The sequence below is a fragment of the Homo sapiens genome, chromosome 19 (assembly GCF_000001405.40).
Source record: "Homo sapiens chromosome 19, GRCh38.p14 Primary Assembly".
Lineage (NCBI taxonomy): Eukaryota > Metazoa > Chordata > Mammalia > Primates > Hominidae > Homo > Homo sapiens.
In genome coordinates this window covers 38,105,544-38,120,602 of record NC_000019.10, presented here as the reverse complement: position 1 = coordinate 38,120,602, position 15,059 = coordinate 38,105,544, and the positions used below count along the sequence as shown (strand labels likewise).

General features: G+C 50.2%; 1 protein-coding gene across 8 annotated transcripts in view, besides 2 other annotated features; it reads right to left on the bottom strand.

Annotated features, from left to right (window-relative positions):
* The window catches only part of SIPA1L3 (signal induced proliferation associated 1 like 3), a 301,162-nt gene that overhangs the window by 87,767 nt on the left and 198,336 nt on the right, over window positions 1-15,059 (bottom strand). For all 8 annotated transcript variants that reach the window (XM_047438486.1, NM_015073.3, XM_017026518.3 and 5 more), the window contains 3 exons: window positions 13,963-14,066; window positions 10,219-10,376; window positions 721-1,297 (listed from right to left, as the gene is read on the bottom strand). In XM_047438486.1, coding sequence (XP_047294442.1) covers window positions 721-1,297; window positions 10,219-10,376; window positions 13,963-14,066 — 839 coding nt within the window. The remainder of the gene's footprint in view (window positions 1-720; window positions 1,298-10,218; window positions 10,377-13,962; window positions 14,067-15,059) is intronic.
* Window positions 1,073-1,276: a silencer, noted in NCBI's record as "fragment chr19:38609967-38610170 (GRCh37/hg19 assembly coordinates)". NCBI's record gives its function as "represses an EF-1alpha promoter that drives an FKBP-Casp9 reporter gene in an ReSE screen in K562 erythroleukemia cells {active_cell/tissue: K562}" and the evidence as "EXISTENCE:reporter gene assay evidence [ECO:0000049][PMID:32094911]".
* Window positions 8,075-8,692: an enhancer, noted in NCBI's record as "H3K27ac-H3K4me1 hESC enhancer chr19:38602551-38603168 (GRCh37/hg19 assembly coordinates)". NCBI's record gives its function as "activates a minimal SCP1, AML or CMV promoter by ChIP-STARR-seq in primed H9 embryonic stem cells {active_cell/tissue: H9 hESC(primed)}" and the evidence as "EXISTENCE:reporter gene assay evidence [ECO:0000049][PMID:30033119]".

Genomic DNA, 15,059 nt, shown 5'->3' with positions numbered 1-15,059 from the left:
GTTCCTTTGTGCTTTCTTGTATTTTTTCCTCCTCTCACCTCTGCCCTATCCATTAATGGTTTGGACATTTTTCATTCTATTTTAATTATTTTAGAAAGTACTCTTACACTTCTTTTTTTTTGTTTGTTTTTGAGACAGGGTCTCATACTGTTGCCCAGGCTGAAGTGCAGTGGCGTCATCTCAGCTCACTGTGGCCTCAACCTCTTGGGCTCAAACAATCCTCCCACCTCAGCCTCCCAAGTAGCTGGGACCACAGGCATGTACCACCATGCTTCCCTAATTTTCTTTTCTTTTTTTTTTTTTTGTAGGCAGAGTCTCACTATGGTTACCCAGGTTGGTCTGGAAATTCCTGGGCTCAAGCGATCCACCACCTCAGCCTCCTAAAGTGCTGAGATAGATTACAGGTATGAGCCATGGCGCCTGGCCTACATTTTTAACCTAAGCTTAAATTTATACTTTCTATCAGTGTCCAAGGTTAATAAGTATCTCTTGTCTTTCCAAGGTAATAGCATGAAGATCCACAGATCTCTGGCACAAACCTTCCAGAGGAAGAACCTAGCTACAGAACCCACAAGATGTCTAGTTTGTAAGTGACAACTGTGATTCTCTCCGGGCCAGTGCGTGTCTTAGCCTAACTGACTGGGCTAGGGAAGTATTTCAGTGGTTCCTGAGGCCGAAACCATACAAATCGCCGCCCTATCGCCGGGCTCTCTCCCTTACCTTCAGTCTCTGCACTATCTCCCTTATGTCCTCCACAGAACCCTCTGTCGCCTGTAGGAAGATGTGGTCTCCTCGTCCATAGAAGATTTTGAGTGTGGAGGAGTCTGGAGTCCAGCCAATGACATCCCCGCAGTAGCAGTTGAACACCACCTCCTTGGTGCGTAAGTCCAGGAGCACCACAAACTCATTGGAAATTCCCAAAATGCAGTCGATTTCCACCCCCTGGGCGTAGTCCTGGGCCACCACCCTCCAGGCGATGGCCCCTGCACTGTGCTGCTCAGCGCCAGCCCGTGCTTTTGTCTTTTCCTTCTTCTTGGAGGTCAGGGAGATGAGGTTGAATTTGCCGGTGGAGTCGATGGGGGTGTTGGAGACACAGTTTTCGGCCAGGTCCTTGAGATACTCCTGGCGGGTCCTGGTGGCCATGGTGTGGAACTTGTCGGACTTGTGCGCGGCGTTCTCAGCGTTAATCACCTTGGCCAGCAAGAAGTCTCTGAAGACGTCGGATTTGCGGAATGTGGTTCCACTGGGGATGGGGGGGCCGAAAGGAGGAGCGTCTTTGGATCGGGTCACAGCCATACTGTGGAGGGAGAGATTATTTAGATGGTGGGAAGAAAGGCACTAAGACACTTCAGAGAGAAAATATTCGATCAAAAAATAGGAATAGGGTTTTTTGTTTGTTTGTTTTATCGAGACAGGTCTCACTCTGTCACCCAGGCTGGAGTGCAATGGTGCAATCATAGCGCACTGCAGCTTTGACCTCCTGTCCTCAAGCAATCCTCCTGCCTCAGCCTCCCAAGTAGCTGGGACTACAGGCTTATACCACCATGCCCAGCCAATTTTGTTTATTTTTTGTAGAGACGAGGTCTCACTATGTTGCCCAGGCTGGTCTCAAACTCCTGGGCTCAAGCCATCCTACCTCCTGGGCTTCCCAAAGTGTTGGGATTACAGCTGTGAGCCACCACACGCGGCCAGTTTCCTTCTGAAGAATGAAAGTCCACATCTAATTAGTAAGTTGCTGGCTAACCAGATTCGAAATCTAATAAAAAGTCGGCTGGGCGCAGTGGCTCATACCTGTAATCCCAGCACTTTGGGAGGCTGAGGCGGGCAGATCACCTGAGGTCAGGAGTTCGAGACCAGCCTGACCAATATGGTAAAGCCCCGTCTGTACTAAAAATACAAAAATTAGCTGGGCGTGGTGGTGGGTGCCTGTAGTCCCAGCTACTTGGGAGGCTGAGACAGGAGAACGGCGTGAACCTGGGAGGCGGAGGTTGCAGTGAGCCAAGATGGCGCCACTGCACTCCAGCCTGGGGCACAGATCGAGACTGTCTCAAAAAAAAAAGTGTTAGGGCACATACACATTTTCTATAAAGCAGATGTCTGAACATCCTCTGACATCAAAGGGTAATCCTCCAAGGACTGTTCACTTATTCCTGTTTTAAATACATAGACCGTGTGGCAGATCTTACAGTTTGGCAAAAACCTACTCCCTCAGGGCAGTGGCGCAATCTCGGCTCACAGCAACCTCTGTCTCCTGGGTTCAGGCGATTCTCCTGTCTCTGCCTCCCCAGTAGCTGGGATTACAGGCGCCCACCACCACGCCTGGGTAATTTTGTATTTTTTGTAAGCCAGAAAGAAACATTAACGTTTGTCACTGAGCCCTTGGGTGGTTTGTTATACGGCTTTATTGTAGGAATAGCTGACTGATGTAGAATGTTTATGAGTTTTAGTTCTTTTGAACACTTGTGTTACACAAGTATACCTTGTAAGTCATCTTAACAAAGGTTATTTTGAAAATTCATTGCATTCCTCTGGTAGATGCTGAGGTTTAAAGAAGAAAAAAAATTAATAAAGGAAGTTCATTGTAACAGGAAGTTTTGATGGAGGCGCTATCAAAATCTGATAGCAACTCAGGAGAGCGTAAAGAGAAAATGAGGCTGGGTGTGGTGGCACAGGCCTGTAGTCCCAGCTACTCGGGAGGCTGAGGCAGGAGAATCACTTGAATCTAGGAGGCGGAGGTTGCAGTGAGCCAAGAATGTGCCACTGCACTCCAGGCTGGGCAACAGAGAGAGACCCTGTGTCAAAAAAAAAGAGAAAATGATCTGAAGACTCTGTTCCCCCAAGCTCTTATACCACATTTCCCACTATTTAAACTATGGAGAGAGAAAAGGAACTTGTGGAGAAAGCTGGTGGGTGAGCCCCATTCTCTCCCTTCCCCACCCCGCAGCAGGAGGGACCCCATAGGTAATGCTCTTTTTTTTTTTTCTGAGATGGAGTATCACTCTGTAGCTCAGGCTGGAGTACAATGGCACAATCTCGGCTCACCACAACCTCCGCCTCCCGGGGTCAAGCAATTCTCCTGCCTCATCCTCCCAAGTAGCTGGGATTACAGGCACCTGCTACAACGCCTGGCTAATTTTGTATTTTTAGTAGAGACAGGGTTTCGCCATGTTGGTCAGGCTGGTCTTGAACTACTGACCTCAAGTGATCTACCCACCCTGGCCTCCCAAAGTGCTGGGATTACAGGCATGAACCACTGCGCCCAGCCCCTAGGTGATCCTTATAGCAGCGAGCGGACTGGGATCTGTCTCCTGCCTGTGCAGGAAGCCCCTGAAGAGCCCGGCGAGCAGCCAGCCAGCTCCAGCCACAGTCCACATGGCACTTCCCTGCCTCCCTTTTCCTCCCTACACTCCAACCCTGGATGGGTCAGAAACTGGCAGTGAGCAGGGCTGGGAGGAGGAGAAGTGCAAGGTGCAGAAGCAGGAGAGGTAACCAGGCTCTCAACCCATCGAGGCTTCTGGGCGGAAGGAGCCCTGAGCCCGGACAGGGAGAAGATCTGTTGATGAGTCACATTTGGAGATTTGATGAATATCTTGGATGTGATGCTCTGATGACCAAATTAAATAGAGGCTCAGTGGCCTTTTGGCAGATTATTGCTAAAAGTGCACAAAAAGGCCAAGGCACCTGCCAGAATATTCACCCAGGGCAGGTGAGTTATGTTCTTCATGTTTCTTCTATTATTATTATTTTTTGAGATGGAGCCTCGCTCTGTCGCCCAGGCTGGAGTGCAGTGGCGTGATCTCAGCTCACTGCAGCCTCCACCTCCCGGGTTCAGTCAATTCTCCCACCTCAGTCTCTGGGGTAACTGGGATTACAGGCGTGCACCACCATGCCTGGCTAATTTTTGTATTTTTGGTAGAGATGGGGATGGGGTTTCACTATGTTGGCCAGGCTGGTCTCGAATTCCTGGCCTCAAGTGATCTGCCCGCCTTGGCCTCCCAAAGTGCTGGCATTACAGGTGTGAGCCACCGCACCCAGCCTGTTCTTTTTCTTTTCTTTCTTTCTTTTTTTTTTTTTTTTGAGACAGAGTCTTGCTGCTCTGTTGCCCTGGCTAGATTGCAGTGGCGCGATCTCGGCTCACTGCAACCTCTGCCTCCTGGGTTCAAGCATCTTGGGTTCAAGGGATTCTCCTGCCTCAGCCTCCTGAGTAGCTGGGATTACAGGCATGCACCACCACGCCTGGCTAATTTTTGTATTTTTAGTAGAGACAGGGTTTCACCATGTTGGTCAGGCTGGTCTTGAACTCCTGACCTCATGATCCGCCCGCCTCGGACTTCCAAAGTGCTGGGATTACAGGTGTGAGCCACTGCACCCGGTCTCTTTATGTTTCTTAATGGCACAGGGTGATGCAATAAGTTAACTATGCTTTCCTAAAAATGTATGGTATTTTCATCCTTGATTAAAACCTATTTGTCAGTACAGTGTCAAGACAGAATTCCTACTGTTTCTCTTCCATCTGTAGGATAATTTAAAAAAATAGAGATTATGGATTAAAAACACTCCATGAAACTCCAACCCAAAGTCATGCTTGCCCAGGTTTTGTTGATTCCCTCCCCTTACCCCCAACTCTAGACAAGGGCGACAGTGCGACACTCATCCATTTGTTTGACAAGCACTTCCTGGACTCCACGCTCTTAGGCATTGGGGATAACGTGGTCCCTGCCTTCCCAGAGCTTCTAGTCCAGGAGAAGGGACATACCAAATCAACACACAGAGATAAACTCATAAAGATGAGGAAAGGGAACAGGGCATGTTATGACAGAACTAGAGAAAGACCTGATTTGGACAGGGAGAATCTGGGAGGGCCTCTCTGAGCAAGTGATGATGAAGCTGGGATCTAAGGGCTGAGTGGAACCAGAGGAAGAGCTGGGGGAGAGTGCTGCAGCCAGGGGGTGCAGCACAGGTAGCAGCCGACTAGGGAAGGCCAGGGTGGGCATGGCCCGGAAGGCAAGGAGCAGGAGGCCATGAGGTCACCAGGGGCAAGGCCACACGGGGCCCTGGTGAGTTAGCACTTCCTATCCTTACCATGGGAGCAGGCAACCATTTAATGATCTGATCTGGTGGTGAAACCATTTCCTGTCTGCCCCCTCTGATCCATTCTGCCGTTCTCTGCCCTGCTCTGTGCTCAGGAAGGAAGATCTCTCTAGCTCTGTCACCTGGGTTCCTGTGCCCTGGGGCTTCCAGCTGAGTTTGGCCAATGAGAAGCACCAGCAGGGAATGGGAAGGTGGGAGGAGAGAGGCTGGAGTATTTATTTCTCTTCCCTTCCACTGTGAGGGGCTGTGATGAAACTGTCAGTGGCTGTCATCTTTGGTCCCTTACAGCTACTGCTCCTGTTGGGCCGCCCCTCTCCCAGGGCCACAGCTCTCATCAGCTTTCAGAAACATCTCCCGTCTCCCTCTGAGCCCATCAAGGCTTGGGGGTGGATAAAGGTTCCTGCTCTGGCTAGTCCCTGGATGCAGCATCTTCCCACATGGTTCCCGTAAGCTCCCCACACCTCTGTCAGTGGCATCAACTCCCTTTGGTTAAATCCTTGAGGGAGATCTGCTTCTCGCTGGGTTCCCAACAGAGGCAGGTGCTGGCAGAGGGACAACAGATTGGCAATCTGCGGAGACCACTGTGGCTGCCTCATGAAGAATGGACGGGAGGACAGGGCACATGCAGGAGACCAGTGTGGGAGCTACTGCGCGACCCCGGCCGATCAGGCCAGATCCCCCTCGCTCTCCATCTCTGGCGTTGACTGGCTAGTGATCCTTCATGCCCCAGGAGTGCCACGTGGCTGGATGCCGCCCTAGGCTTAGTGGATTCCCCAGCACAGTTGCTCAATGCTGACTAAAGTAATGGTTTAAACATGGACAGACGAAACAGGTTTCTACCAAGGTATGGTGGGCATAGTTTTAACAGAAAAAGGCATTTTCCAGAGCGGACATGCTTCAAAGAATGCCACACACACCAGGTAAATTTTCTTCTGTGGGAAATCTTGTGGACATGGCCTTACCCCAGGCAGGGGGATGGATGAGATGACCTCCCCTGTCCCTCTCTCTACTGAATGGGGCAGTCAGATTGTCAGATTGCACTTTACAGAGATGAAGAGCTTTGCAATTTTTTTTTTTTTTTTTTTTTGAGACAAGAGTTTCGCTCTTGTCGCCCAGGCTGGAGTGCAATGGCATGATCTCGGCTCACTGCAACCTCTACCTCCTGGGTTCAAGCGATTCTCCTGCCTCAGCCTCCTGAGTAGCTGGGATTACAGGCATGTGCCACCATGACTGGCTAATTTTATATATTTTTTAGTAGAGATGGGGCTTCTCCATGTTGGTCAGGCTGGTCTTGAACTCCCGATCTCAGGTGATCCACCTACCTTGGCCTCCCAAAGTGCTGGGATTACAGGCATGAGCCACAGCACCCAGCCGAGCTTTGTAACTTCTTTATTCAGCACTTAGCTGCTTATAGTGACAGATTTAGGCTTTTCCTATATTCCTGATTCATGATTTCACAAATCATAAAATTGCAAACGGCTGAAGGTTTTTGAGCCATCAGAACAGCTGGTCCCTTACTTCCCAGCAGGAGGGACTGGGTTTTGAGAGTCCACAGGCTGCAGGGATGATGCGGGTGGCCATTCGGAAATTGCACACTTGAAACAGAAAGGATGAAAACTCACGAAACAACCAGCAGACGAGGGGACCTGGTGGTCACCTGATCACCAGAGGGCAAGAAGCGTTGCTAGAACACTCAGAATTATTTATTCAACAATTATTTTTTCAGTGCCTGCAACATTTGGGCCAGGTGTCTTTCCAGCCAAGCAAAGATGGCTTTAGGGCCCACTATGTGCCAAGCTCTGTGCTGTGACAGATACAGGAAGCTAAACATGAAATGGGGTTACTGTCAAAGGAGGCAACAGCCACGTGATGTCTGTTTTTCCGTTTTTTTTGGTTTTTTTTTTTGAGAGAGTCTTGCTCTGTCACCCAGGCTGGAGTGCAATGGGGCTCACTCTAGCCTTGACTTCCTGGGCTCAAGCGATCCTCCCACCTCAGCTGGGATTATGGGTGCGTGCCAGCATGCCTGGCTAACTTGTAAATTGTTTTTTTAGAGATAGGGTCTCCCTATGTTGTCCAGGCTGATCTTGAACTCCCAGGCTCAAGTGATCCTCCTGCCTCAGCCTCCCAAAGTGCTGGGATTATAGGCGTGAGCCACTATGCCCAGCCCATCATATCATTTTTATGGTGTCATGTGTGCTATGACAGAAACATGTTGGGCAATGGCACATGGAGCAGGTAAGGAACCACTGGAGGGTGTCAGAGGCTCATCTGAGTTCAGTCTTTTTTTTTTTTTCTTTAATTGAGATGGAGTCTCGCTCTGTAGCCCAGGCTGGAGTGCAGTGGTGCAATCTTGGCTCACTGCAACCTCTGCCTCCTGGGTTCAAGCGATTCTCTTGCCTCAACCTCCAGAGGAACAGCTGTAATTACAGGCACCTGCCACCACACCTGGCTAACTTTTGTATTTTTAGTAGAGATGGGGTTTCACCATGTTGGCCAGGCTGGTCTCCAACTCCTGACCTCAGGTGATCTGCCTACCTCAGCCTCCCAAAGTGCTGGGATTACAAGCGTGAGCCACTGCACCTCGCCCTGAGTTCAGTCTTGAAGGACAATTAGAAATTCACTGAGTTGGGGGACAGGAGTTGGGGGTTTCAGGAGATGGTAAGCTGGAGAGCTGTGTCCGGGCTCCCTCCACAGGGTAGAGGCAGGGTCAGGTCTGTCCAGAGAGGAGCTGCCTGTGGGGAAAGAGGGATGGGAAGGGAGGGGGATGGCTGAGGAGCAGCTTTGGTTGTATCTCTAACATTTTCTTTCTTTAAAAATGAAGGAAAGAGGGAGAGCCGAAGCAAACAAAGCAAAATGTTAACATCTGTTAAAGCTGGCGGTGGGCACATGGGTCTCTGTTAAATGATTTTCTGCATTTTTCAGAATGGTTAAAATATTGCATAATAAAAATATTTTAAATTAAATTATAAAAAACAAGAAAGGTTTGTGTGTGAGAGAGAAGAAATCACTCTGGAGACCATGCAGAGGCGAGCCCGGAAGGGAGGGAGGTCAGCTGCAGGCTGATGTGATGACCCCAGTAGGAGAGGGGAGGTCAGAGTGGGGACGAAGAAGAGAAAGCAGCTCCCCCCACCAGCTCAACCCTCCACCTCTGATGCATCATAAGAAGGCTGCCTCCTTTTCCAGTGTGTGCATGTGTGTATGTGTGCGTGTGCATGTATGTGTGCATATGTGTGTGCATATGTGCATGTGCTTGTGTGTGCCTGTGTGAGTGCAGGTGTGTGCATGTGTTATGTGCATGTGTTTATGCGTGCCTGTGTGAGTGCATGTATGTGTGTGCATGTGCATGTGTGTGGATGCATGTGCCTGTGTGCAGGTGTGTACCTGTATGTGTGTGCATGTATGTGTGTGCATGTAGGTGTGTGCATGTGCGGACGCATGGTGTGTGCATACGTGTGTGTGCATGTGTGGACGCATGGTGTGTGCATACGTGTGTGTGCATGTGTGTGCCTGTGTGCAGGTGTGTGCCTGTGTGCATGTGTGTGCATGTACGTGTGTGCATGTATGTGTGTGCATGTGCATGTGTGCACGGATGCGTGCATGCATGTGTGTGTGTGCATGTGCCTGTGCACGTGTGCGTGTGCATGTGTGTAAATATCTCCCATCTCATCCAAGGGTCCTCAACCCCAAAAAGGGCCTGAGGTGCAGGCACTCTGTAGCTGCTGCTGCATGTTCCAGGAACCGATGGGCAGGGGGAGAGGTGGCCTCAGGTCCAGGGACATGCCTGTAAGGAGGCCCTGCCATGCAGTGTGCTGGCTCCCAGTAGCCAGCGGGCAACATGTGCAGCACAGAGGTGCTAGACAACCAGCGCTGCAGGCTGGGATGCCCCTCCCTTCCCTCACCCAGCCGAGGGAGGCAGCTGGTAGACCCGCGGTAATTTCGCGGTGACTACTGGTGCACATACACACGTCCTCTGCTCCAGCACCTCCATTTCTAGAATTTCTTTTACAGCTGTATGCTTGGACTCAGGCGCAATCAGACTATAAATAAGACTGTTCATTGCAGGCATCACAACCGTAATACCCATCAGTAGAGGACAGGAGATGACTCCACATCCATACAATGGAATATGAAGTATCAGAAAGAACAAAAAGCACTTCATGTACAGGTACGAAAAGATCTCAGCTGTGTGCGGTGGCTCACACTTACAATCCCAGCACTTTGGGAGGCTGAGGCTGGAAGATCACTTGAGGCCAAGAGTTCAAGACCAGCCTGGGTAAAACAGAGAGACCCCATCTCTACTAAAAAAAAATTTTTTTTTAATTAGCCAGGCATGGGGGTGTGCACCTGTAGTTCCAGCTACTCAGGAGGCTGAGGCAGGAGGATCGTTTGAGCCCGGGGGGGTCAAGGCTGCAGTGAGCTATGACTGCACCACTGCATTCCAGCCTGGGTGACAGAGTGAGACCCTGTCTTAAAAAAAAAAAAAAAAACCCAAAACAACAAAAACCTCCTCAATTCTACCTCCAAAGTGGGGCCTACCTCCACAGGTAGGCCCTGCTTCCCTCCGACTTTCCTCTGGGCCATCACTCGTGCCTCTTGGTCCTTGAAGCCCAGTGCCCAGGCCTGGCTGGTGATTTTGGCTCTAGGACAGGCACACGACTCCAACTGGGCCAGTGAGCCCCAATTCTGGGGCTTCTGATGCAACTCTTGGGAAAGAAAAGCTCTCATTTTGGGGGATTTGCAGCTGGTAGGATGTTCACCTCAGACCTGCTGGAAAGGTGACCCCCAGGAGGGCGGTGGCAGATCCAGCCAGGCCTAAAGGTGCCACTTTTGAGAGCCTATATACACAACTGTCTTTTTGTCTTAAGCCACATTGACATGGGTTTTCTGTCACTTGAAACAAAAGATTACAAGCAAATACAAATCCCTGATGGTTTCCTTAGCAAAAGTGGGGAGCCATGCCCCTTTCTGGCTAAAAACCACTCTCTGAGATGGTGTGGGGAGTATACGCCGAGCTCTTCTCCTGAAGCACAACGTGAGGTGTGGGGGGGCCCTGTACTGGGACCCACTTGGGCCAGCTGCCTGCCCCTCTCTCCATACGCTGCTGGGGGCCGGGTGTGGGGGGCATACCTGTAACAGACGTTATCAGTGCAGGGGTTGTGGACTCGGACAATGATGAAGACGTGCTGGAAGTGGGAGCGGATGTTCTTGGGGGTGAACGGTAGCGCGCCAGGCTCCTGGAAGATGATCGTCACGATGTCATTTCCTATGTGCCTCTTCCGTAGCAGCTGGGAAAGGGCAACAGAGGGGGACAGGAACCTGTCACAGGTCGGCCTGACGGGTCCTGCCTGGACCACTGCCACAGCTCCCCCCACCCACCCCCATTCCCACTCCCTGCTCACACACAGCCCAAGGAATGCCCGAGTCAGGTGACAAACCTTCCTGTGGTTCCCTCTCATTCAGGATAAAGGACAAAGGCCTCACCATGGCCAGAAACACTTCCTCGAAGCCTCTGCACCGCTGTTCCCTCTGCTAGGAACATTCTTCCTGAGTCCCCACATGGCTTCCTTCGTCACCTCTTCTGGTCTTGCATAAACCTCACCCTCCCAGGGAGGCCTTTGCTGACTACGTTATTCAGATCCACCCCACCACAACACTCCCTGATCTTTGCTTTTCTGTCCCCATTACTTAACACTTATTGACACTCAGCAGAGATGGCTTTCCCCACTTCATTTTGTTTCTTGTCTCTTCCCATTGAAGTGGCAGCTCCATGAGAACAGGGATTTTGTTCACGGCCAACTGCTGTATCCTCAGTACCCAGCACAGTGCCTGGCATACAGGAGGTACTCAATAAGTAAGATCCAGAGAGCACAGGCTGGTGGTCTTCAACTTGCTCAAAGCCACACCCATGGACAATGGCAGAGTCAGATCCCAGGTCACTGGCAGGGCCAGTTATAGGCGCCACCCCTTCCCTGGACCCTGACTGAGGTCAGGATGGCTGTGGCTTCCGAGTGCCCTATGGGACTCTCACCCTCTGATATGGTTTGGCTGTGTCCACACCCTACAATTCATCTTGAATTGCAGCTCCCATAATTCCCACATGTCGTGGGAAGGACCTGGTGGGAGGTAACTGAATCATAGGGGTGGGTCTTTTCCATGCTGTTCTCGTGATAGTAAATAAGTTTCACGAGATCTGATGGTTTTATAAAAGTGTGGTTCCCCTGCACAAGCTCTCTTGCCTGCCACCATGGAAGATGTGATTTTGGTTCTTCTTTGCCTTCTGCCATGACTGTGAGGCCTCCCCAGCCATGTGGAGCTGTGAGTCCATTTAACCTCTTTTTCTTTATAAACTACCCAGTCTTGGGTAAATCTTCATTAGCAGTGTGAAAATGGACTAATACACCTCTCCCCTGCTGGTCAGTCTCCGAGGAAGACTCTGTTATCTTCACAGGTGACGCCGTATTCACAGTGTTTGGCTTATTTGCTGAGATTATATTGTTCTTTTTCTTTTTTCTTTTTTTTTTGGAGACTGAGTTTCACTCTTGTTGCCCAGGCTGGAGTGCAATGGTGCGATCTCGGCTCACTGCAACCTGCACCTCCTGGGTTCAAGTGATTCTCCTGCCTCAGCCTCCTGAGTAGCTGGGATTACAGGCATGCGCCACCACGCCCAGTTAATTTTGTATTTTTAGTAGAGACAGGGTTTCTCCATGTTGGTCAGGATGGCCTCGAACTCCTGACCTCAGGTGATCTCTCCGCCTCAGCCTCCCAAAGTGCTGGGATTACAGGTGTGAGCCACCAAGCCCAGCCTATTATATTGTTCTTATTTACACAGTTCTAGCATTCATGTAGCTGTTAAAGAATCTGCCAATGCAGGAGATCCATGGACGGGAGTCCCACGGAGCTCTAAGTGACATGGCTCACAGTGTGAACTCCAGACACGCTTTGCAGCTCAACTCCTACTGTTGAATGGTTAGTTCTTTATGTGAGTTTTAAGTGGCATTAAATCAAATCGCTAAAGCAGCTATTGACTGTGGCTGGTCCTGTACTAAACACTGCACAGCCTTATCTTCAATTCATCATCTCAATGAATCTCTTAACAACCCCGAGAGGCGTTAACTCATTTTGCCCCATTTTACAGATGAGAAAACTTAGGCTCACAGAGGTTAAGTAATTTTACCTAAGTCACATAGTGATGGAGGGAAAGAGCCTGGATTCTAACCCACTTCTTAACTCTACGACTCAAGCTTTTCCCCAGCGCCCCTCCCACATACTCAGGAAAAGGCACTGCTCTCTGCGCCCCTCCTGTGTGTCGGGCCCTGTCACGCTCCGGTTGCCGCAGGAGTATATGGACCTTTCTCAATGACCCTGATTCAGGGGCACTACGATTATACCCATTTTACACAGCAGGGACTCAAGGCCCAGAGAGGTGAGATCACTTACCTGAGATCACACAGCTAGGAAGTAGCCAAGAAAGAACTCAAATTCAGGTCTAATTCTGAGATCAAAGCGCTTTTTTTTTTTGCTTTTTTTTCTCTTTTGAGACAGAGTCTTGCTCTGTTGCCCAGGCTGGAGTGCAATGGCATGATCTCAGCTCACTGCAACCACTGCCTCTTGGGTTCAAGCAATTCTCATGCCTCAGCTTCCTGAGTAGCTGGGACTATAGGCACACGCCACCATGCCTAGCTAATTTTTGTATTTTTAGTAAAGATGGGGTTTCACCATATTGGCCTGGCTGGTCTCAAACTCCCGACCTCAGGTGATCCGCCTGCCTCAGCCTCCCAAAGTGCTGGGATCACAGGCATGAGCCACCAAGCCTGGCCTAAGACCAAAGCTCTTAATAGCATGTTTTTAGATGAACCTTAGGAAATCAATATTTGAGCATTTTTGGCCTACAAAGTCACTTGTGCCAACTGGGAAAATACGTACACTTACTTCCTAAACTGTCAGCACTCTGGGGCTTCTGTTCATTAGGAACTGGAAGAATTGCTCTGTGGGCCCAGCCTGCAAGGTGGGTCCAAGAGAGGAGCCGGGTCACAGCTGCAGCCTCTTGGCAATGAGTGTTTGGTGGCGCTGCCCACCTGGTATCCCTGCCTCCTGCTGGCAGCCACACCCACCCAGTTCAGGAAAGCACCTCCCCAACCTCCATCCGTTTCAAGTTGAGCTGGCACCACTCACCCTCTCTAGGGTTGGGCATGAGCCTCGGGCTTGGCCAGTCTGCCCTTTCCACCCCTACCCCAGGCCCCAAGACTGGCATGTGAATAGTCCAATGAGACTCAGCTCTGAAACACTTCTGGGACAACTGGAAAAAACAGCACTCTTTCTGCTGAGGTGGCTAAGCTGGTGGATGTGAGCCTAGGGCTGCTAGGAGGTATCTTTGCTTTGCACCTGTGAATAAAGCTGCTGTAAAGAAAAGTGGAGGTGAGAAATGGGGAAGGATTCCTAATATTGTTGGAGTCCCTGGATCCAACCAGACCTGAGGCCAGCCCTCTCTACAATCTTAGAGTTATATAACCCATAAATCTCTTTTTCTAGTTAAGCCAGTTTGGTGTGAGTTTCTGTTACTTGCAGTCAAAATAATGTTGACTGATTCACTCTTCTTCTTAAGACCAGTGATGACTCAAGAGGCCCTGGAGGGGCGTCGGGCTAGCTGGGGCTGGGCAGGGCGCCCAAGAAGCAGCAGGAAAGACTGGGGCCAAAGTGACATCTCGAACCACACCTGGGCTGCTCTCTAACCCCCAGGGAAAGTGACCATAGTAAAGATGGCCTCCAAGGTCAAGGGCCTCCATATGATCCACAGGACAGAACTGGGAGGGCCAATGCTGGTGGGTGGGCAGCCAACATCCGGCAGCCGTGCCTCTGCTGAAAATCACTGACCTGCTGCCTGTTGTTGGGGGTGTAAGGGAGCAGGGTGGAGACATGGAACATGATCTCGTAGTCCTGGTACATCGTGTAGAGGGAGTGGGTTCCCGTGGAGTCGGCTGAAACAGAAATGCCAGTTAGGACCATGTTTCCAAAACCTCTGGGTTTTTGCCATATCCCACGTACCATCTGTGCTGGTTTTTAACTTGGTGCTTTCACTTCAATCTACTCTTAAAAATTAAATACACTGGCCAGGCCTGGTGGTTCACACCTATAATCCCAGCACTTTGGGAGGCTGAGGCAGGTGGATCATCTGAGGTCAGGAGTTCGAGACCAGCCTGGCCAACATGGTGAAACCCCGTCTCTACTAAAAGCACAAAAATTAGCCAGGCCTGGTGGCGGGTGCCTGTAGTCCCAGCTACTCGGGAGGCTGAGGCAGGAGAATCGCTTGAACCCGGGAGGCGGAGGTTGCAGCGAGCCGAGATCACGCCACTGCACTCCAGCCTGGGAGACAGGGTTAGACTCTGTCTCAAAAAAAAAAAAAAAATTAAATACATTTAGATAAAAAGGAAACCCCATTGCTATGTACCCACCAGACTGGTAAAAATTAAAAAGTCTGACAGCACCAATGGTTGGCGAGGATGTGGAGCAAATGGAACCCTTGAGGTGGCTGGTTAGGTGTGTAACTTGGTACAAGCACTTTGGAAAACTTTTTAGCAATCTCTCTTATACCTGAAGATAGGCTTAATTGATAACCTGGCACTTCCTTTCCTTGGACCACAGCCCAGAGAAATCATGCACACGTGTCCTGGGATATGGGTACAAGAATCTTCAAGCGTCAGTCAAAAGAATGGGTGAACACACTGGTCAATTCACACTGTGGAAAAATATACAGCCAGGAAAAGGAATGAGTCGCGGCTGCAGCATGGGGAAATCCTCTAAATGTTGAGTGAAAGATGCTGACACAAAGCAGCACACACAGTGTGATCCCATTCATGTGACATGCAAAAGCAGGTCAGATTATACCAGTCAGGGATGTGTAGGTAAGTAGCAAAACTATGAAGAAAAGCAAAGAAATGGTTATCATTGAGCATCAGGATATGAGTTCTCTC